The sequence below is a fragment of the Homo sapiens genome, chromosome 2 (assembly GCF_000001405.40).
Source record: "Homo sapiens chromosome 2, GRCh38.p14 Primary Assembly".
Taxonomy (NCBI): Eukaryota; Metazoa; Chordata; class Mammalia; order Primates; family Hominidae; genus Homo; species Homo sapiens.
In genome coordinates, this window is record NC_000002.12 from 31,930,529 (window position 1) to 31,954,902 (window position 24,374).

General features: G+C 37.3%; 1 protein-coding gene across 22 annotated transcripts in view; it reads right to left on the minus strand.

Moving 5' to 3' along the window:
* The window catches only part of MEMO1 (mediator of cell motility 1), a 143,186-nt gene that overhangs the window by 62,706 nt on the left and 56,106 nt on the right, over positions 1–24,374 (minus strand). For 13 of the 22 annotated variants that reach the window (NR_126034.4, NR_163996.2, NR_163998.2 and 10 more), the window contains 2 exons: positions 12,774–12,855; positions 1,539–1,607 (listed from right to left, as the gene is read on the minus strand). Coding sequence is in view for 16 of the 22 variants with exons in the window: in NM_001371914.2 (NP_001358843.1) it covers positions 1,539–1,607; positions 12,774–12,855 (151 nt within the window). In the remaining 6 variants the exon portion in view is untranslated. Of the gene's footprint in view, positions 1–1,538; positions 1,608–10,211; positions 10,217–12,476; positions 12,595–12,773; positions 12,856–20,069; positions 20,190–24,374 lie in introns of those variants that run through there. The other 9 variants (NM_001371916.2, XM_047444635.1, NM_001371920.2 and 6 more) reach the window with 5 other exon arrangements.

Here is a 24,374-nt window from a genome sequence, read left to right on the forward strand (position 1 = left end):
TTATCAATAAAACTTCTGCCAAATAGAGGAAGGTTTCAAAAAGAAAAGGCTGTTATATAAACTAACTTTTATTATAGCTGGTTTATAGGCCCAAGTCAAATGAAAGAAGCTTATAAAATATATATATATTTTTTTTGAAACGCAGTCTTGCTCTGTTGCCAAGCTGGAGTGCGGTGGCGCGATCTTGGCTCACTGCAACCTCCACCTCCCGGATTCAAGTGATTCCCCTGCCTCAGCCTCCCAAGTAGCTGAGACTACAGGCGTGTGCCACCACGCCTGGCAATTTTTTTTTTTTTTTTTTTTGTATTTTAGTAGAGACGGGGTTTCACCATATTGGCCAGGCTGGTCTCAAACTCCTGACCTCAGGTAATCGGCCCGCCTCAGCCTCCCAAAGTGCTGGGATTACAGGTGTTAGCCACCAGGCCCAGACTAAAAAATCATTTCAATTTAACTTCTATTTGCTCTTATTCATGAAATTACTTAAGATTATATATTAAGCATGTATCAAGGAATAATTGTTAACAATGCTCCTCAAAACATCATAAATGAGACAGGGCTAGCCAAAACCTCACCAATTTAGAAATATTATTGCTTTATTTTTAGTAAAAACTTGCTAAAAATAATTTTCAATGAATTATAATACAATGTACAGAGAACGCTACATAAAAATTTGAAAGAACAGCTTTTTTGTTTTAAAACTTTGAATGAACTGCTCAAAGGCAAGTGGTCTGTGCATGATTTTCTTTATTAAATCATGGCTGCTATGAGCTATTTCTTTTGAATAACTATCCTACATCTCTACTAATTCAGACCTAACAATCAGTATTTGACAGAACTAAGATGATCGCTTTACCTATTCACATAGCTTGTACATCTGGCAAAGAAGGGCCAGATATTGGTTCATATCTAGTAAATTAACTGTGTAAATAAAATGAGTGACTATTTCCAGCAAAACCTCTTGTAAGTTCACAAGTTTCTTACAGAGTAGTATACTATTAAAAGAGTCTCAAGTTCCCAGGAAGTTTTTTTTTTTCTAAGCTAATTTCAGAGCTGTCATTGAATTATTAAGAGTTAATATGCCTCAAACACCATATTAAATTCACTGTCAGATTCTAAAATATTTCAAATACCTTATCCTGTCAACGAGAAATTATCCTTTCAGTAACCACAATTTTAACAAGTACAATAAAGAATCTTAAATTACGAAATGATTAAAACAGATCAGAGGGCTTTGCATTTTTCTTAAGAATGCTCATCTCTGGGTTTTCAAAGAAATATCAAAAAACAAAATATTTAACCTTCATAACTAAACATTTTACATGCCAAAGGGAAGGTAAAAATCAAATGCTCCAACAACAACAAAAAAGAAGTATTGAAGTTTTCAGTAACCTATACAAAGTATAGTAAAATTCATCAAAAGTCAAATCCCTCATGAAATTGAGTACATAATAACAATAAGTATAAAAAGCAAATTACTTCTATAACAAAGCAATAAATTCTCAAGCTTCTCCGACTTAAAACAAAACTACATTACTTACGTAATAGACGGATCCACTTGTTTATAAGCATGGGCAGCACAAGACCCACAGTACGTATATCCTGCATGGCTACAAAACAAAATATTTTTAAACTTAATCATCAGATTCAAAATCAAGATATTCTAGAAAGAAAAACCTTGAAATAAATACAGTACCTATGGTAAACACAACAGAATTGAGAGCATATGTTAAATAACAATGTAGTTAATGATGTGACTTCTAGAAGAAATTAGGAAACACATGATCTATACTGTGTTCCAATTCTAAACTTTAAAAATACTTTGTAATTTTTTTTTGTCTGAAAGACAAATTTAGAGGTGTTCAAGTTTACTTGAAGTTGCTATGTAACACGATTATTGAGGTTGGTTTTTGTTGTTGTTTTTTTTTTTTGAGACAGAGTCTCACTTTGTCACCTAGGCTGCAATACAGTGGTGCAATCATGGCTCACTTCAGCCTCAACCTCCCAGGCTCAAGCAATCCTCCTGCCTCAGCTTCCTCAGTAGCTGAGACCATAGGCGCATGCCACCATTATCTGGCTCATTTGTTATTTTTAACAGACCTGAGTTCTCTGTTGCTGAGGCTGGTCTTGAACTCCTGGGGTCAAGTGATCCTCCTGCCTTGGCCTCAAAAAGCACTGCAATTACAGGCATAAGCCACCGCACTTGGCCTATAACTGAGTTTTTTTATACTCCTCTTCAGTAGCATTAGCAGACTATTACAGAAAAATGATAAACCAACAGGAAGTCAAGTCAGACCAAAACAAATACCCTACAACTATTATAACAACTCACTTCCTTCGAAGACAAAGATAATTATTCTCGTTTTCTCTCCATACTATTTTTCCCTTTCATCCTCTGGTCTCCGAATTCAGTCAATTCTCTTATCACGCACAGAATGACTGTTTCCTGGTCTCAAAAGGTATATGAAAAAATAGAGATATATCCATACAATGGAATACTCTTCAGCAATAAAAAGAAGTGAACTACTGACACTCAAAATAACTATACTTTTTTTTAAGGGGGTAAAAATAAATATACTGAATGGAAGAAAGTCAAACAAAAATAGCTTATTCTGTATGGTTCCATTTAAATAAAATTCTAGAAAATAGCGAGGCATGGTGGCACATGCCTGTAGTCCCAGCTACTGAAGAGGCTGAGGCAGGAGGATTGCTTAAGCCAAGTTCTATATTACAGTGAGCTATGATCACGCCCACACACCAGCCTGGATGACAGAGCGAGATACCACCTCTTTAAAAAAAAAAAAAAAAAAAAAAAAAAAAAAAATTTATATATATATATATATATATATATATATATAGAAAGGGGAAGAGAGGGGAAAAAGAGGTACAGGTACAGAAAGGAAGAATTATAAGCGAACACAAGGAAACTTTTGAGGGTGATGAATATGTTCGTTTTCTTGATTGTGATAGTTTTATCCTCATACATAGGTCAAACATCAAATTGTGTGCTTTAAATGTACACATTGGTATGCCAATCATATCACAACAAGGCTCTTTTTTAAAAATGGTCCTAATCTGAAGTAGCTTAAGATATGAATGGAGAAAATGAGACTCACAGCTGTCTACTACAGCAATACAAGATAGTAGTGGCGTTTAATTGGGAGCTCAATAATATGGAACATACACTAAGTTCACTGAAATCAGTGAAGGCCTTAATTAATCGTAGTCACTCTAGCCCTATACCTCTGGTAAAGGAGCCTATCAAGTTGCCTCAAAACAGCAATATTCTCACAACCCAGTTCTGATCTTAGCCAGAAGGAAATTTAGTAGTCTTTTGGCTCAGCACACTCAGTTTTGATGTTATCCTGTGCTAATTTTGATACTAGAGCCTTACCAGGAGACCTATTTTATTCTGTTACAACTCCAGTCTCTGAGTGCCTGAGACGTCACTGCTCACTGCTTCAGACTGCTAACACCTGGTTCTTGATCTTAACTAGTTCTCTTACCAGTTTATAAGTACGCCATCTTGCCTGTCCATGTGGACCTTAAAACCAGCTGGTCCATCTGGATCTGCCCAGCTCTATCTCAAACCTTAGCGACATCTCAGATGTTCAACACTCCCTAGAAATTTTGCTCTCAGTTGTCACTCATATACCATCCCTTCACTTCCTAATCCTTACACCTTAAACTGCTCCTTCCACCTTAGATCTTCTTTTCAGACTTTAGCTCCTCTTTGTCATTCTTAAATTTAAAGGCTCTAATCCCCAATCCATACTCTGATCTCTAAATCAACCTGTCTTTCTAGTCTGAGTCTCTCCCATTTCTACCAATCCTGTTCCTGACCAAGCTCAGTTCTTAACATCCAGAAAGGCTCTTAGAAACACTGGATTCTTCCCATAACTGCCCTCCACCTGGGTGACTGAGCGAGACTTTATTTCAAAATTAAAAAAAAAAAAAACAAGAAAAGAAAGAATCATTGGATTCTTTATGTATGGCTAGGACAGAAATAATAAGAGTACAAAGGTAAGGACATTAAGGAAGGGCCTAAAGACTAAAGGAAGAACATGAGCAAATGTCCAAGTACATAAGGTAGATGAGAAAATACAAGACAGGCCTGAGTAGAGGAAGAGAGTAATGATAAGCCAGAGTCAGGTAAGGGAATAGGGGCTTGATAAAACAAGATTCTGAAAAATGCTGTGAGCTCTTGGGCAGGGGTGTGACAATATCAAACTGTTATTAGTCTAGTACTGAAAAGCACTGGCACAAACTAGCAATTAGAGGCAGGAGGGTGTTAATAGAAGCTCTCTTGAAAATTGTGGCAGTACTCTACCCAAGCATGAGGTACTAATGTCATGGTCTGGAACTCTATCAGTGCTGGTGGGCAAAGAGAAGCAAATGTGATAGAGTCTAAAAAAGAAAAATTAACAAATCTCAGTGACTGAGCATGGGAGATGATGAAAAGGATAATGATAATAATAGTAACATTTACTGACTACTTCCTATGTATCAGGCATCTTCTATGTACTTCAAAGTATTAAATCATGTAATCCCCACTCCAACCATATGAGGTAGGAATTATTATTATTGTCATTTTACAGATGAAGAAACTAAAACAGAGAGGTTAAGAAACTTGCTCAAGTTCACAGAGATAGCCAGGACCAAGTCAGGACTTCAGCCAGGACTGCCTGGCTCTAGAATACATACTGTTACCCACTATAAGAGATCTTTACATGTTTGAAGGAAGAAAGGAAGGAGTCTGTGGCATAGGAAAAGCAATAAGCCTGAAAACGAGAATTCTTACAGAGCATATACCCTATAAAACTACACGAAAGGATGAAAGTTTTGAAAACACAATTAGCTAAGGTAAATACATGATTAATAATGGAACTCAGATTTCGTGGTTTCAGTCCATTCAGGAGCTGAAGACTTCCAAGTCTGCTTGGAGTAAAGACAAGACAGTTACAGGGAGAGAAGGAGAGTCTTAAGTTGAAAAGGTCTTAACTTCGAGGCTACACTGCAGAGTATTGAAAAAAAAAATCTGTCAGTGCACTGTGCCTCTTTACCCCACCACAAAGAACTCTACTTCATCAAAGGAGGAAGAAGATAATAATCAAAGAAGATAATTTCTTGTAATTTCCTTTATCCTCGCCCAGAAACATGGTAATGAAGAAAATCAGAATAATGACAATCAAATCACACTACAGATGCTCTTTTCCTAATCTTTCTCTCGCTAACAGACCCTGCGATTCTACATGTATGTGGAAACAACGTTTTATCAAGAGATCATTCATAATAAAGGAGGCTTCACTAAAGAAACGGCTAAAGTTTTTTCTTTTGTGCATAACAGCCAAAACAATGAAAATTTAAGCTCTACAGATATTCTAATATGCACTGTAAAAGTGTGTCCCATTTAGTATTTTATTTTATTTTTTATTTTTATTTATTTATTTATTTTTGAGACAGAGTCTCACTCTGTCACCCAGGCTGGAGTGCAGTGGCCACATCTCGGCTCACTGCAACCTCCACCTAGCAGGTTCAAGCGATTCTCCTGCCTCAGCCTCCCGAGTAGCTGGGACTACAGGCATCCGTCACCACACCTGGCTAATTTTTCTATTTTTAGTAGAGACGGGGTTTCACCATATGGGCCAGGTTGGTCTTGAACTCCTGACCTTGTGATCCGCCTGCCTCAGCCTCCCAAAGTGCTGGGATTACAGGCATGAGCCACCGCGCCTGGCCTGTCCCACTTAGTCTTTTAAAAGCTCTTAAAGTCCTTAATGCAAAAAGCCATCCCCACTAACTTTTCCAAGTCACTCTGATTCCCAACCTAACATATCATGAAGGCAAACACAAAATTATACTTAATACCTACAACATTTTATCAAGCTAAAACCTTGCCTCTAAAAATTGATCCTTCTTTTAACAGGGAGTGCTTTTGCTTCTCCCTTTGCTCCTACACAGTAGACCCTTTACGTCGGCAAGTCTAGTTCCTGACACCAGAATTTCTGTTTTTCCCTGTGGAACTGCAATCAAGTGAGGATGCAAAGGCCATTCATTGCTCATGAACATTTACTGGTTATGTGACAGTTTCCCACACAGCAACCTTCCAATGTGGGTATAATTCAAATTCTTACCATAGAAAAATGACCAATTACTACAGGACATGGATTTTCACTTGTTCATTCTGAGACCTTCAGGGTCACAGGTGAACAGTATAAACTGTCAATGCCAAGAGTCTACCACACATTCTATGTAAGGCTTTTCATCAAAGAGGATACAGGGAATAATAAAGGAATACTTAACTAAGATTCAACAAAGTCAGGTCCAATAGTCCTAGTTCTACTTAATAGTAGCAAAATGCAAAATAAAAAGATTGAACTAGATGAAATGAGAAGACTGAACCAGAGGAAATGGGAAGATCTCCTCCAACAATAGGAAAAGTCACAAGATCTACTTAAGCTAAGGTAAGATCTAAAAAGCTAGAAACTAAATTAGAAAACTCCTCTGAACAGATGGGATCAATTTGATTGACAACTGGCCCTATATAATTTGCAAATGCAGCAGCTTCCACATTGCCTCTCTCAATTTAATTTTGCTGTACCTAGTCTTTTATTCTTTTATTTTGTAGGCATTGCTCAATGGCCCTCAAGATTCCTGTTTTGATAAAAAATATCAGTAGATAATTGTGCCCAAAAAAGTCCAAGTTAGATAGTTATTATTCAGAATATTTTATTTTTACATAATAGAATCTCATAAATATTAAATAGTCTGAGCTAAGGAAAGTTATTAAAGTTATTGAAGTCAAATAAGAATGAACTAACCAGAATGTTGCATATCTAGATATTTTTTGTACTGTCATATAGGATTTGAGACTTTGACATGAATATCCTATGGCTTAGTACAAACAATAATTAGAGACAAATAAGCTGTGCATCCTCAGTAACTTGAAGAACTAAATAATGTATGAAGATTGTCTCATGATATCCAGTGGTAGAGCACTGTACAGGTATGCTTCACTATATACAAACTTGTCTTCTATATACACGCTTTTTAGCATTTACATTTTTTAAACTAATTTTTATATTAAAAGTAACACATGCACACAGTAAAAAAGTCAAACAATAAAGGGTACACAATGAAAAGTGGAAGTATCCTTTCTCCCATACTACTCCTACTAGGTTAACTAATATCAAGTCAAAGTCCTACTAGGTTAACTAATATCAAGTATTTTAAATGTATAAGGGGGGCTTCAATATTCAAAGTACCTGTTTTATAGTAAAAAAAATTCATGTTAACCAATTATTTGATTACATTTTTATATTTAATAAGTTTCTTAAGCGATGCATATCTGTACAGCTTCATTCTAGGGGTTGCTGACATATTTCTGCATAGTGCAAGACAAGCAAGAAGATTGGTATGAAGATATCTGGAAGTCATGTAGAAAGGCATTTCAGACTTTTAGCTCATGAGATCATTTCAATATATATCTCTGCGACACATACTGTCTCCTACACATCAAGGTAAGGTAGTTCTGAATTCAACCACAGTACATTTCTAATCAAATTAATTTCTTTTAAATCCTCCAAACGTGCCTGCCTTATGTCACACAGATTAGAATTCATTAAGATAGAACAACAGTTGACAGGTCAATATTTATTCTTTAATGGTATTTATTCTATTTAATCTATATCAATATAAAAATGAACAATATTTTTAAGCACTTTCAAAAACTTGCCATTTTCACACAGCCTAATTAGTTACAACTATATCCAGGTTCTGAGTTTATTTAAGGTTTCCATGATATGATTTATGCCTATAAAGGTAAAAAAAAAAAACTAAGAAGGCCAGGCGCAGTGGCTCACACCTGTAATCCCAGCACTTTGGGAGGCCGAGGCAGGCGGATCACGAGGTCAGGAGATCGAGACCATCCTGGCTAACACGGTGAAACCACGTCTCTACTAAAAATGCAAAAAAAATTAGCTGGGCATGGTGGTGGGCGACTGTAGTCCCAGCTACTCGGGAGGCTGAGGCAGGAGAATGGCGTGAACCCGGCAGGTGGAGCTTGCAGTGAGCTGAGATCGCGCCACTGCACTCCAGCCTGGGTGACAGAGTGAGACTCCGTCCCAAAATAAAAAAATAAAAAATAAAAACTAAGAAAAGCAAGTACTAGAGAGCTAACATTTATAAAACTTAAAGTAAGTTTTTGATTAATGTGATTTTTCTAATTATTAAATAGCATAACCCTTTCATGCCATAGAACAATATTTTTTTTTTTTTTTTTGAGACAGGGTCTCACTCCCATTACCCAGGCTGGGGTGCAGTGGTGCAATCTCAGCTCAGTGCAGCCCCAACCTCCCGGGCTCAAGTGATCCTCTCATCTCAGCTTCTGGAGTAGCTGGGGCTGCAGGCTCATGCCACCACACCCAGCTAATTTTTGTATTTTTTGTAGAGGGGGTTTCGCCATGTTGCACAGGCTAGTCTCAAACTCCTGAGCTCAAGCATCTTCCCACCTCAGGCTCCGAAAGTGCTGGGATTACAAGCATGAGCCACTGCACCCAGTAACAATGAAAGATTTGTTTTCTACCTCAAAAAAAAAAAAAAGATAGCCTTGGAAAGGAAAATAATTACTTCTGGAAACCATATAAGATAAAACTTGGCTATACTTATAAAGTCTTCCTATGTTAACGAAATAGAAATTGCCTATGAATGCACATTTATATATGTTTATTGTATGTTTATATTTATGTTTTTATATGTTTATATGTTTATTATAACATTTATTATACGTTATATACAAAGTCAGCATGTCACAGAAACACACCAAAGCCAAAACTATTTTCAAATATCCATTTTAAAATCTGGGGTAACTTGGAAATCAACATATTTGTAATTTAGGCTAAAACATTCCATTTCCCAGGTCACTCCCAATTATTCCAATTTAAAATTAATTACAAAAAGGAAACAAGTCTGGCTACTTTTTTATGAATACTAAACTCAACTTAATTATATGTTGATTCAACTCAGCTCCCAAATTTAGAACAAGTTTTAACTGGAAAGGTAGCATACCATAATAGTCAAATACCAGCAAATTGATGAAATGAGAATGTCTCTCGTGAGTTACTATAAAGAAATTATTATTAATCCATTGTTTCTCACCTAATCAAGGATCCCTCTTAGGTAAATGTCCCCTCTTATCCCTGCATCAATTTTTCTTCCCCTACTGACTCACTTCATATACAAACACTTTAAAATCTCACAAATGAAATAAAAATCCTCCTTACCATATAGATACTATCCTATTTCTCTGTTTTACAGCAAAATTCCTCAAAAAACTATCTATACTTACGTCTTCATCGCCCTCACCTCTCATTCTTTCCTAAACCTACTCCAATAATACTTTCATTTCCACCACCCCACAGAAACTTTTCTTCTCAAGGTCACCAGTGATTTCCACATTGCCAAATCCAATTATCAATCCTCAGTCCTCACTGGCAGCATTTGATACAGCTGATCACTTTTTCCCCCGACACATTTTTCATCCTTTGGCCTCTCAGAGACATCACTCACTCTTGATTTTCCTCCTTCCTCACTTATTCTCCCTTCATTATCTCCTTTGCAAATGTTCATCTTTATTCTAGCCTCTAAAAAGGTGGCTTATCCAAGGGGCTAGTCCTTGAAACTCTTCTCCTGTTTATCTTTATTTTATTCCCTAGGCAACCATACCCTCTGTGATTATATATACTAATAAAGCCTTTATTTCTATCTCAAGTCTGGTGCCTCTTCTTTGTACTCCAGATTCATATAGCCAGCTGCCCATTCTAAATCTCCATTTGGATATCTAATAAGCACCTCAACATTAACAAGATCAAAACCAAAAACCTAGATTCTATACGAACACTTCAAAATCTACTCCATACTTCCACTTGTCTTCCCCTTATCAGTATAAAGGTAATTCCATCCTTCTAGTTTCACAGGACAAAACATAAGAATCATTCAGTCATGATATTTTAAAACCATGTCTTAAAAATATATTTAAAGACAGGGTATCTCACTGTTGCCCAAGCGGGAGTACAGTGGTGCAAACAGACCATAGCTCACTGTAGCCTCCCCCTGGGCTCAAGGGATCCTCCTCCCTCCATCTACCAAGTAGCTAGGACTACAGTTGCATCCCATCACATCCAGCTAATTTTTGTAGAGATGGAGTCTTGTTTTGTTGCCCATGCTGATCTCAAACTCCTGGCCTCAAGCAATCCTCCTGCTTAGGCCTCCCAAAGGGCTGGGATTACAGGCGTGAGTCACTGCCCCTAGCCAAGTGTCATTCTTGACTCTTCTTCTCTCTATCTTGTTGGTCCAACCTTTAAAACATATCCAGAATACACTACTTCTCATCATCTCTGCCTCAAGCCCCCAATCCAAGCCACTATGTCATCTCTTTTCTATAATTATAATTGTAAAATAAGCCTCCTAAACTGGACTCCCTGTTCCCACATAATATAATATCCATACAGCAGCAAGAGTAATTCTTTTCAAACCTAAGTCAGATCATGTCATTCTACTGCTCAAAACTTGTCATGACTTGCCATATCACTCAGAATAAAAACCAAAGTCCTTATGACTACAAAGCCTCTTCATGATCTAGCCCTCCGCTGCCTATCTCATCTACCACTCTTCCCCTTGTACTGCCACTCCAGCTGCACTGGCCTCCTTGCTTCTCCTCAAACACACTAAGCATACTCTTGTTCCAGAGCCTTTGTGCTCACTGTTCCTCAACCTGAAACCCTCTTCCCTCAGCTATCTGCACAGCTTGCTCTCTCACATCATTCAGACTAAAATGTTACCTTACCAGGGAGTCCTTTTCTTACTAATCCTATATAAAACAGTAACACCCTACCCATACTGTCACTCTCAATCCTCTATCTGCTTTATTTTTCTTCTTAGCACCCATCAGCACCTGACATAGAATATAATTATTTGTTTACTGCCTGTCTTCCCTAGTACCAAAATGCTAGTACCACAAGAGTGGCAACTTTGATTTACTCAAAATGCAGCACAAAGAAGAGCACTTGGCCTTTAGCCTGGTATGTAAATGACTAAATAAATAGTAGTAAGTCATTTGCTGTAAGTTTTATAAAGATTAGTTCATTTAATCTTTTGTTAAAAGCGTTAAGGAAATACTATTATTATTCCAGCTTTACCAATGAGGAGCTGAAATCCCAACAGATAAAAAAGTTGCATGTCACATAGCTTGTAAGTAGGAGTCAGGCTCCTGCACCCATTAAATGAGATCAAGTTAGATATACAAATAAGGCATTTAACAAAATATTTGGTATATAAAATGCCTACCATTAATAGTAGGCTCTTTATGTGTATTTACTATTTGCTCATTTAATTCTGATATTGATTAAAAACGGTTATTATATATTGTCATCACTATTTACTATTTATCAGGGCATGAACCTTAACCCAATAGAAGTCACAAACAACAACATGCTATGAGACAAATGGCACAGAGTAAACCTTCACTCTTCTCAGAAAAAATGTTACCATGTGTTTCAAACAATATGTTGTGAAGGTTAGCACTGGAAACCAAATCAAAATTAACTGAATTCATATCATACACAGACACACATCATTAACTGTGTATGTGCTAGCTTGCAGTTCTAAAAAGCAAACTCTAAAATCCAAAGACAAAATAATCAGATTTTCTCAATTAAAAAAAGACACAATCTACTCCTCCTCAAAAATTAAGTTGCTATTCCATGTTGCACCATACTATGCTTAATATATCTTTTTCATTATAAATTAAAAATCATCGGGATTAAATTAGATCTCTTTAATATTTAAAATAGAACTTATTCATTTATAGCAATGGCTACCAAAATTGGCAAGTTTACCTGATGTAAAAAACACTTTTCTTTAAAAGTCAGTTTTATTATCAAAAATACATTTCGAAATTACTCTATCTGAGGAAATAAAGTAGCCAATTCTTTTTTTTTCTTTTTTTGAGATAGGGCCTCACTGTCACCCAGGCTGGAGTGCAGTGGCATGATCTGGCTCACTACAACCTCCACCTCCCAAGCTTAAGCGACCCCCGACGTCAGAACCCCACCACTGCCACCCCCAGTAGCTTAGCTGGGACTACAAGCGTACCATCACACCCAGCTAATTTTTGTATTTTTAGTAGAGATGGAGTCTCACCATGTTGCCCAGGCTGGTCTCAAACTCCTGGGCTCAAGCAATCCTCCCACGTTGGCCTCTCAAAGTGCTGGAATTACAGGTGTGAGCCACCACACGCAGCCAAAGTAGCCAATTCTTTTATCCTTAAGTTACAGTGAAAACCCACAAGAATTGTGAAAATTACTGAATACAATTTCTTCAGCTCAGTATAGACTTCAGTTTTTAATTTTTAGTTCAATCTGTAGATACTCATTTACTAATAATAAACATACAAAAAAGATTTTAAGTAGACTCTTAAAACTTACAGTGCAGGCCAGGCGTGAGCGAGACCGAGGCAGGTGGATCATTTGAGGTCGGCAGTTTAAGACCAGCCTGGCCAACATGGTAAAACTCCGTCTCTACTAAAAATACAAAAATTGGCCAGGTGTGGTGGCACACGCCTGTAGTCCCAACTGCTCAGGAGGTTGAGGCAGGAGAGTCGCTTGAACCTGGGAGGCGGAGGTTGCAGTGAGCCGAGACCATGCCACTGTACTTCAGCCTGGGCGACACAGGGAGACTCCTTCTCAAAAAACAAAACAAAAACAAAAACAAAAAAGACTTACGGGGCAATAATGGCTCTAGCAGGTCTTTTTGTAGACTGTACTTGTGAAAGCCAACCTTCTAGCTGTGCATTCAGCTGCGGTCCTATAAAAAGACAAAGACAAAATTAGAGTCAGCAAAGCAATGTACTACAGATAAACATATGTGGCATAAAGCCCTCACTGAACTTATGTGGGACTAAACTAGCTTAATGCGCAATAGGATCATCAGTTGGGATGTTAATGTTTGAATTTACCAACTACACAGTCTCTAACAAGCCATATGATAAGGCCAAATTCTGACTAAACAAAATTTGCTTTTATCGATTTACTTATTTACAGCTGTCTTCATTTCAGAGCAACACAATGTGATTTACAAGTTGAGGCAATATTTAAACAAAATAAAACAGGAAGCAGAAACTCTCAGTGTATGAAGAGGAAATAATTGAATATGTTATAGAGCACCAAAATCTGCTCTACAGATTAATCACTGAAATGACATCCACAGAAGGTAATCACTTCCACACCCAATGATCTTTTCTTCCATCCCACTCCAGTCCCCTATTCTCATAATGAAATATCGATAACCAGTAACTACGCTACCTTAAAAATCTCAGTTTCAAGCATCTCAGCTTCTTTACTCAATATACTAATTTTTCCAGTTCACTACCAGAAACCTGTTAACTCCAACAGACCCTACAAATTTTTCCACTGTCCTTCGTCTCTACTTCTTACCTAGTCTGAGACTCAAAAATCCATCATCACAGTCATTTCCTTGCTGTGGCCTCACTCCTCTGCTCCTCTCTCCCTCCATCACAGTCAAAACATAGTTTAAAACCAACTTTCCACTTAACTCAGTACTTTTACCTGAATAGCTGAATGAGACTAAAGAGAAATACAACCATATAAACTTTAAAATAATAACCATAAATTTCAGCAGACCCCTAAAATGCTCAGAAATCCCATCACATTAACGTAGTGAATCTGCTCTCCTATCTTTAAGATAGAGAATTAACTCATACCTTCTCTTTTCACCTTAAGCCTCAATACTTCCTTCATCCCCTTATCACTTCCAGAAGATAATGATCAATGCTTTTCATTTTGTCAAGGAAAAACAATCAGAAGTTGGCCCAAGACTTTCCCAGTTTTAGCACTGGAAGTGCTGCATTCTGAGAAACTGCTAAATCACAAGCAAACCTGGATGTTGGTCACCCTAAATTGAGAAGATAACTACTTCATCTTCCCACCACTTATTCTGCTTTCCCTCGTATTTCAACAAATTGTCCTTGTTCCTATCAAGAGCCAAACGGTATTTCTGTACTGGATCCCATTATTTTTTTCTTTCTCAAGGATTCTGCTCCCATAACTATTATAGGTCTCCTATACCAATTCTTCCCTTTTTTACTTTATCATTATTATTAGCATGCAAATGTGTCATACTAACACTGATTAATTTCCCTTCAACTACCCCTCCATTTCTTTGGTCCCCTTTACAACAAATTTTCTTGAAGAGTTGTCCTCATTTCCTTCCACTGCTTGCCATCCATTCTTTCTTTTAAAACTTTTAATCATTAAATATTTAAACATTACAAAAGAATCTAGGTAATAATATAACAAACACACACATACCCACTGCCTAAATAAATTAAATCTTAACATTCTACCTTATTTACTTAAGATTTTCCTTGGTTAAGAAATAAATGAATACCTTGCTGATCCCTTTGTACATCTCCCTCCTTAGAGGTAACCACTTCCTGATTTTGGTGTTTATCATTCTATTCTACTTTCACTGTATATGTATCAATAAACAATAAGTGGTATTGTTCTGCATGTTTTCAAATGTTGTATCAATATACTGTACACAACCTTCTGCAACTTGCTTTAGTAATTCAACATTGTTTTGAAAATTACTCAAGTTGATATATGTTGCCCTAAATCATTCATTTGCAGGGCTGTATAGTACTGCACTATACGAATATAGCAAAATTTATCTATTCACTTTCCTACTTACAAATACTTTAGTTGTTGCCAATGTTTCACTATTAATACATAATGCTACAAGTATCCTATGAACATATGTTAACAGTTTCTCTAAAAGTAAAAGTGCTGAATCAGAGGGTGTACTCTTCTTCAACTTGACTACAGCATTGCTAACTTGCCCACTAAGGTAGCTGGATCAACTTATCCATCAGTATACAGGCAAATTAAAATTTAAAATAAGAGGCCTAATTCTACCTGTACTCCCCGACCCCCTTTTCTTAGAGGATTTTCTTTCAAAACCTGGTAAATTCTTTCTCTGCCTGCTTAGAGATGTATGTAAATCTTTGTAAAACCCTAGCCAGCAGCCCAAAACTGCCTTTCTCAAGAACCTTATAACCATCTCTTTCAAATGAGATCATCAAGAGAGACGGCACCCTTATCTCCCAGTTTCTGTGGGAGGACAGGGTGCCTAACTTTGGCAGGCCATCTAGTTCCAAGTTGTAAAATTACATCCTGTCATAAAGATATGAGTTCATTTTTCCTTTAGAAAAAGCCAATTTGTTCACACACAAGGTTGCTCCAATTACCAAGTGAATTTAGGACAAACTATGTGTGACAAATGATGGTATCAAGTCCTCTTACTTGAACACTATTTACTATTTATCTTGAGAACATGTATGTAATGGGTTACATCCACTTGGCTAGATGTAAGGGTGAGCATTCTTTTGGTCTTTGCAATCTTTTAGCAGATTGCTTGTGATACACGTGTCATTCTGGTTTAATACTTATTAAAAACTGAAATTGTTTCCTTTTTCTTCTACCTTTGAAGAGATGTTTTCTGGGGGAAGCAGATTTTGGTTTTAATTGCATTTCATCATTGCTAACACAAGTAATAGTTAAAGGTTCACATTCCCCTACGTCGTTCCCAATATTTGATATTGTCAGAATTTTTCATTTTTGTCAATCTGGATATGAAATGGTATATATTCCTTGTTTTTATTTTGTATTTGTGTTTCAATAACATGCACTGAAATTAAGCATCTACTGTCCTTCTGTATATATTTATAATGCTACACATAAACAGGTCAAGTTTAAAATGGACAGTAAATTTGTAAATTCCCAAAGTACAAAAAAAAAGTCTGACTCAGTGATTAAACAATGGTGTTCATCTTAAAATTTGAATTTAAGAACAGTTACCAAAAAACTTATACAAAGTAATTTCATTATTAACTTAAGGAAAAATAAGTTACGTGTCACATAATGACGTTTCGGTCAACAATGAACTGCATATTCCATAGTGATCCAATAAGATGACAACACCGGGCCAGGCGCGGTGGCTCATGCCTGTAATCCCAGCACTTTGGGAGGCCAACACAGGTGGATCACCTGAGCTCAGTAGATCAAGACCACCCTGGCCAACATGGTGACACCCCATCTCTACTAAAAATACAAAAAATTAACCAGGCATGGTGGGCCACGCCTGCAGTCCCAGCTACTTGGGAGGCTGAGGCACAGGAATCACTTGAGCCCGGGAGGCAGAGGTTGCAGAGATCACGCCCCTGAAGAGAGTGAGACTCCATTGCAAAAAAAAGAAAAACTGCAATACTGTATTTTTACTCTACCTTTTCCCTTTTCTATGTTTACATACACAAATATCATTTTGTTACAACTGCCTGTAGTATTCCATACAGTAACATGCTGTATAGGTCTGTAGCCTAGGAACAACAGGCTATACCATCTAGCCTTGGTGTATAGTAGGCTATACCATCTAGGTTGGCAAATACACTCTTATGATGCTCAGACAACAACGAAATGGCCTAACCACCATTTCTCGAGTGCATCCCTGTGATTAAGTAACACGACTGTATAACCCTAAAAACGTTCACAACACAGGAAGTTTACAGAACCAATGTGAAAAACAGATAAAAGCAAAGAAAATATACCTGAATTCATCCACCCCACTGCCAACAACCTCACTGTTTTTAAGCAGTAAACCAAGCTTTCATATGGCTACTTCTGTAAAAAGACCAATTTCTTCCCAAGGACGCTAAGGTAAGAGCCAAACTCCAAGTTTCTCACTTATCTTTGAATAAGATAATTAAGCATACCTATTTATTACGTATGATTGCTTAATTATCTATAAAGTGTCAAGTAAAAAGGTGAATCTGAGTTCTTTCACAGAGACTAGCCAATACTTGCCAATATGGTATCCTTGATACATGAAGGATTTAGAAATACGTGCTTTGATTTTCAAATACCACTGGGTTTGAAGAAATACTGATAAATGGAAAAAGAAAAAGCATTGCTAAATCCTAGCAAAACTACTTAATGTTTGTGTGATCTTGCCCTTAAGAGGGATAAATAGGCATTTACTTTTTTGGATACAACAGTAAAAGTAGGTTCCCAAAGAATTAAGCTGAGGTATCTCCTCAAGAAATAGATAATAAACAATGAGCTGTAGGAAATACAGTAACACTTCTATTTAAATCCCACTTGACTCAAAGAATATTTTCCAAGTAAGTTTATTTGCATGGTGACAAAACCAGACACTAAATACGCACACACACACACACCTGCTTTTCAAGAATTCCCTTGCAACTATTAACAGAATCATTCTAAAATAAGCTAATGAACTAAGCCAAATTGGTTTTCTATACTTCTCTATCGCTGTTTAGCCTGCTCCTCCTTACTCTAGACAAAAGTCATGTGTTCTCTTTTCAAATTTAGTGAGTATGAATCACCTGAGAATCTTGTTGAAATGCTGATTCTGATCCTACAGTTATACAGTAGGACTGAGATTCTGCATTTCTAACATGCTTCTCAGGTGATAGCAATGTTGCTGGCCTATAGGCTATACTCCAGCAACCTGTCTAGATCAACAGTTGTCATGGAATTCGCAAATCCATATGTATACAAAGTTTCCTCTAGAGATAAAATGAAGGTGTAGATAAAGAAAAGATCTATTTTAGATACCAGGACAAGCTGGTAAGAGAAACATTTCTCCACAAGGGAGCCTTCTAGTGTTGCTGAAACTATTCTACATATGTAATTTAAAGAATGACCAACTGCCACAACTTTTTCCATTTTTTTTATAGGTAATACCTGCCTATTAGCACAATAAACTCAATCCCACATGGTTGGGTATAAGGTAACAAGAAGCAACACATAAAAAGCCAAATAAAAGTAGGCCGTTGGCACCCAGTATTTCATTATTAATCATTCTGTGAAATATGTTCAAATCAAACTAAGAAATAAACTGATCTATCGTGAGAAATCTATAAATAATAAGATGAATAAGCCAGAGTGTTTTAAACAGCGGTTCCTGGATCTCTGATTTTCACAGGCCAATAAAATTACAAAAGAGGGCACAGTGGCTCACACTTGTAATACCAGCATTTTGGGAGGCCAAAGCGGGTAGATCATTTGAGGTCAGCAGATTGAGATCAGCTTGGCCAACGTGCCGAAACCCCGTCTCTACTAAAAATACAAAATTTAGCCAGGCGTAGTGGTGCACACCTGTAGTCCCAGCTACTTGGAAGGCTGAGGCAGGATTTTGAGATAATCTAAATCCTTTAAACTGAATAAATTAACCACATTTCATCAACTTCAAAATGCCATCAATAACCAGAATACACAAGGAGCTCAAACAACTCCACAGGAAAAACCCTAATAATTGTATCAAAAATGGGCAAAAATCTTAATAGACATTTCTCAAAAGAAGATATACAATGGCAAACAGGCATATGAAAAGGTGCTCAACATCACCGATGATCACAGAATGCAAATCAAAACTACAATGAGATATCATCTCACCCCAGTTAAAATGGCTTGTACCCAAAAGACAGGCAGTTAACAAATGCTGGCAAAGAGATGGAAAAAAGGGAGCCCTTATACACTGTTGGTGGGAATCTAAATTAGTACAACCACTATGGAGAACAGTTTGGAGGCTCCTCAAAAAATTGAAAATTGAGCTACCATAGGATCCAGCAATTTTCCTGCTGGGTATTTACCCAAAAGAAAGGAAATCACTATATTGAAGGGATACCTGCACTCCTATGGTTGTTGCAGCACAGTTTACAATAGCTAAGATTGGATGCATCCTAAGTGTCCATCAACAGATGAATGGATAAAGAAACAGTGGTACATACACATAAGCCATAAAAAAGAATGAGATCCAGTCATCTGCAATAACATGGATAGAATTGGAGATCATTATGTTAAGTGAAATAAGCCAGGCACCAGAAAGACAAACAATGCATGTTCTCATTTATTTGTGGGATCTAAAAAAAAACAATGGAACTCATGGACATAGTAGAAGGATGGTTACCAGAGGCTGGGAAGAGTATTGGAGGGTTGGATAGGAGGTGGAGATGGTTAATGGGTACAAAAAAAAAAAAAAAAAAAACCAGAAAGAAGGAACAGGACCTACTGTTTGATAGCACAATAGGTTAGCTACAGTCAGTAACTTAATCGCTCATTTTAAAATAATTTAGAGTATGATTGGATTCTTTGTAACTCAAAGGATAAATGATTGAGGGGATGGATACCCCATTCCCTTGCAACTATTAGCAGAACCATAATGTGCTTATTTCATATTGCATGCCTGTATCAAAACATCTCATGTACCTCCCATAAATATATATACCTGCTATGTACCCGCAAAAAATAAAAATTAAAAATTAAAAAGATACCATCAATATTTGGGTGCACCATTATTTTAAGTATCACTAAGAAGGAAAAAAACCTCTCTCAAACTATGACATATGGTTTCTATTGCTTAGAATTATGTCATTTTACACTTATTGGCAGAGTTCTTTTAAACTTGTTCAGACATATATTATTGCCGGGCGCAGTGGCTCACGCCTGTAATCCCAACACTTTGGGAAGCCACGGCAGATGGATCACCTGAGGTCAGGAGTTTGAGACCAGCCTGGCCAACATGGCAAAACCCTGTCTCTACCAAAAATACAAAAAGCAGCTGAGCATGATGACAGGTGCCTGTAATTCCAGCTACTCAGGAGGCTGAGGCAGGAGAATCTCTTGAACCTGGAAGGCAGAGGTTGCAGTGAGCAGAGATCACAGCACTGAACTCCAGCCTGGGCAGCAGAGCAAGACTCCGTCAAAAAAAAAAAACAAAAAAAAACCTATTAATGAACAAGCAATTAAAAGGTATTTCTTTGGCTGGGCACAGTGGCTCACACCTGTAATCCCAGCACTTTAGGATGCCCAGGCAAGCAGATCACTTGAGGTCAGGAATTTGAGACCAGCCTGGCCAACATGGTGAAACCCCATCTCTACTAAAAACACAAGAAAAAACTAGCCAGGCATGGTGGCGCACACCTGTAATCCCAGATTTGGGAGGCTGAGGCACGAGAATCGCTTGAACCTGGGAAGCGGAGGTTGCAGTGAGCTGAGATAACGACACTGTACTCCAGCCTGGGTGACACAGTGAGACTCCATCTCAAAAAAAAAAAAAGAAAAGAAAAATAAAACAATGGAAGTAAAAAATTTAAAAAACAAAAAAATACTTATTCAGACAAATATATAATCCTTGTGCTTATAAAAAATACAAAAGCAAAATAAATAAGGTATTCTTAAAATTTTCCTCAACATTCACAATCTGATCATCAAATTGCTTTTTACTTAGAGTCATCAGCAATCCTTGTTTTTCCATAGTATCGTCCTTCATACCATTAAGAGAATTCATGATTCAACATTTTTTTAAAGTGTTTCTCTGTTGCTTTGGGACTGTCTTCCAAGCTGCTGACATATATCGCCCAAGTCTCAATGCAGTCCCTTTCCTGATCTTACCAAAAGGTATCACTGAATGATGTAACAGACGGTTTCAGAAAACAACCCAGGGATGGTACACCTTCTGTAATTGGTATTTAACTAGTATGTTGACTGAAACATCAAAGGGGTGATGTTGTGTAGTCAGTCATATCAGTAGGATTAACTACCAAATTCACATATGAACAGGCAGTGACAACTATTTTCCAAATGATAATTTTAAGTTGCTACTGACTGGAAAACACATCTCAATTTCAGAAATGAAAAAGTGTGGGAAAACATACATATTAAAATTCATGAAATATACTACCACTATGAAAACCCCACTCACTATGATGTTCTGATATTCTTAATTTCAATGCAGAACAGTGAAAAATTCATCAAAAATCAGCATTTGGGAACCACTGCTTCTCACTACAATGAAAAGTGTTTCCGAGAAGCCTTACCAACTACAAAATCTCACTTAATGGTTTTTTTTTTTTTTTATCTTTTTATTTTTTATTGAGACGGACTCTCACTCTGTCACCCAGGCTGAAGTGCAGTGGCACGATCTCGGCTCACTGCAACCTCCACCTCCCAGGTTCAAGCTATTCTCCTGCCTCAGCCTCCCGAGTAGCTGGGATTATAGGTGCCTGCCACCGCACCCGGCTAATTTTTGTACTTTAGTAGAGATGAGGTTTCACCATCTTGGCCAGGCTGGTCTTGAACTTTTGACTTCATGACCCAACCACCTCAGCATCCCAAAGTGCTGGGATTTACAGGTGTGAGCCACCACGCCCAGCCCCATTTGATTTTAAAAACAAATAACATTTCAGCAGCTTCCTCCAAATCCTTTCTCTCATTACTAATGCTCTACTATGATCACACACTTGGAATTTATTGCTATGCTTTTTACAAAATTCATATCCTATTTTTAGATATATCTCAAAGGATGTTGTTTGTTTTTATGTATCTGATAGGGCTCCTCACACAGAAAATAGCATGCCCTTGGTACAGCACCTTAGGGAGTGCAAGAACTGTCACAGCAAGTCTGATCCAAAACCTATCCAGAGCAGTACTGTATCAAATCAAAACAAATTTTAAAAGTTAAAATTAAAATAAAAATCGCACTGTGAAAAACACCGACTGTTCGCCTTTATATAAACCTCAAAGGTTAGGCCAAATCCATATATCTTGGATTCCTTACTATCTACTAATTTATGTAAATATTTTAAGTATTTATTTACATTTTTGGCTATACTGTATTTCAGAATACAATAGCAGAGGGCAATTAACAATCCCAATAAATAATCTTTAGTGTGTACCAACCACCTCTTAGATTTGGCCAACTGGAAATCACTTACTACTTTTCTGTCCGTTCATATATAGTCTCAAAATTTTCAGAGCTAAAACCAATTCCATTGGCATTTCGTACCCAAAAGAGCTACAAATTTGGAGAATCACAGTATACTTATTCCAGTTCATTTACAAACACCTCATCTGAAAATGGGTTTAGCACTGATTCCTGTAACAGTCCATTAATTTGGATTCTCTCTTCCCACCCCTATTCACTGTTTATAAATCAGTTTCCTAGCTCTGTCAAATGCCACTAAATACTTTGATAATATCTGATTATAGCATCTTATCTAAACTATTTTTAAGATCAAAATATTTATTTTTGCTTGCTATTTTTTCATTAGAAAAAAAGCATGCTCAGTACAGAAAATTTGAGGAATATGTATGAGGAGAACCACAATCCCATAATTACTAAAAAATCGCCAAAATTAATATTTTCCAAATTTCCTTCTAGTCTTTAAGATGATATATAATTCTGGAGCCTACTTTTATTTACATAACATTCTAATATAAGCATTTCCCTGTATTATAAACTCTTCAAAGACACTGTATGATTAAATAATATTTCCTTGTGTGAATGGATCACTGTTTCCTTAAACATTAATATAAAATCACTGGGTTGTTTCCAATTTTTGTGTTATTATAAACAATTCTGTATTATGTATCTATACTTATAAAGCTTTTTCCATATTTAAGATTATTTCTGGCCGGCACGGTGTCTCACACCTGTAATCCCAGCACTTTGGGAGGCCAAAGTGGGCGGATCATGAGGTCAGGAGTTCAAGACCAACCTGGCCAACATGGTGAAACCCCATCTCTACTGAAACTACAAAATTCACTGGGCATGGTGGTCGCACACCTGTAATCCCAGCTACTCAGGAGGCTGAGGCGGGAGAATCGCTGGAACCCAGGAGGCAGAGGTTGCAGTGGGCTGAGATCATGCCATTGCACTCCAGCCTGGGTGATAGAGTGAAACTCCGTCTCAAAAAAAAAAAAAAAAAAACACAATTATTTCCTTTTGAGATTCTCAGAAATGGACTTACTATGTAAATCAGTACGAACTTTCATAAGATTTTTTTTTTTCTTTTTTTGAGACGGAGTCTCGCTCTGTCACCCAGGCTGGAGTGCAGAGGCACGATCTTGGCTCACTGCAACCTCCGCCTCCCGGGTTCAAGCAACTATCCTGCCTCAGTCTCCTGAGTAGCTGAGATTACAGATGTGCACCACCATGTCCAGCTCATTTTTTGTATTTTTAGTAGAGATGGGGTTTCATCATGTTGCTCAGGCTGGTCTTGAACTCCTGACCTCAAATGATCCGCCCACCTTGGCATCCCAAAGTGCTGGGATTACAGGTGTGAGCCACCGTGCCCAGCCCCTTTATAAGATTTTGATACATATATTCAAAATGTTATCCAAAACTGCATCCATTCAAAATGATGCATGACAAGGCCTACTTCACCATAATCTCGCTACTCTCCTTCAAATATTTTGAAAAATTAACTCATTTAACCCATGCTCCCATTTGCTAAAATTAAAATCTAATGTCCCACTCCTCAATGATATTTGGTATTTCAAAATAAATTAAATATTCTGATTTTTTAAAATCAAAGCCATCTTAAATTCTAAGACAAAAGTATTTTGACTTCTAAGATACTTATTTGCTACTTGGGACACATATAGCCACATGATTGTTGAGTCTTCTTGCCAGCCACAAGTTATCCATCACTAACACAGAGGGAACAACTAGTATCTATCTGTCTTCACACAAGACAAACCAATTTCAACACCAAGCTTACTGTGCTGCACTATGGTGTTATTTTAAATTACCCACAATCCTGAAAATGTTTACACGCTCCTGCCTTTAAATCTTTTTAACTAATGGGGTATGATTTTTCATCCTTTTAGAAATCATAATTCTTGGCCAGGCTTTGTGGCTCATGCCTGTAATCCCAGCATTTTGGAAGGCCGAGGTGGGAGGATCACTTGAAGCCAGAAGTTCGTGACCAGCTTGGTCAACATAGTGAGACCCCTGTTTAACATACCAAGACCTTGTCTCTATTCTTGTAAAAATTAATTTTTTTAAAAAAATCATAATTCTTACTCCTATAATAGTCAAAAAGTAGTCTACAGACCAGAATCACGTAATGTGTTTATTTAAGAAAGATCCCAGCCAGGCACAGTGGCTCACTCATGTAATCCCAGCACTTTGGGAGGCCGAGGCAGGCGGATCATCTGAAGTCAGGAGTTCAAAATCAGCCTGACCAACATGGTGAAACTCCGTCTCTACTAAAAAGATAAAAAATTAGCTGGGCATAGTGGTGCATACTTGTAATCTCAACTACTAGGGAGGCTGAGAGAGGAGAATTGCTTGAACCCAGGAGGCGGAGGTTGCAGTAAGCCAAGATCGTGCCATTGCACTCCAGCCTGGGCAATAACAGCGAAACTCTGTTTTGAAAAAAAAAAAAAAGAAAGATCCCTAGGTTTTATCCCAGAGATGTGCCACTACAATCTCTGGAATGG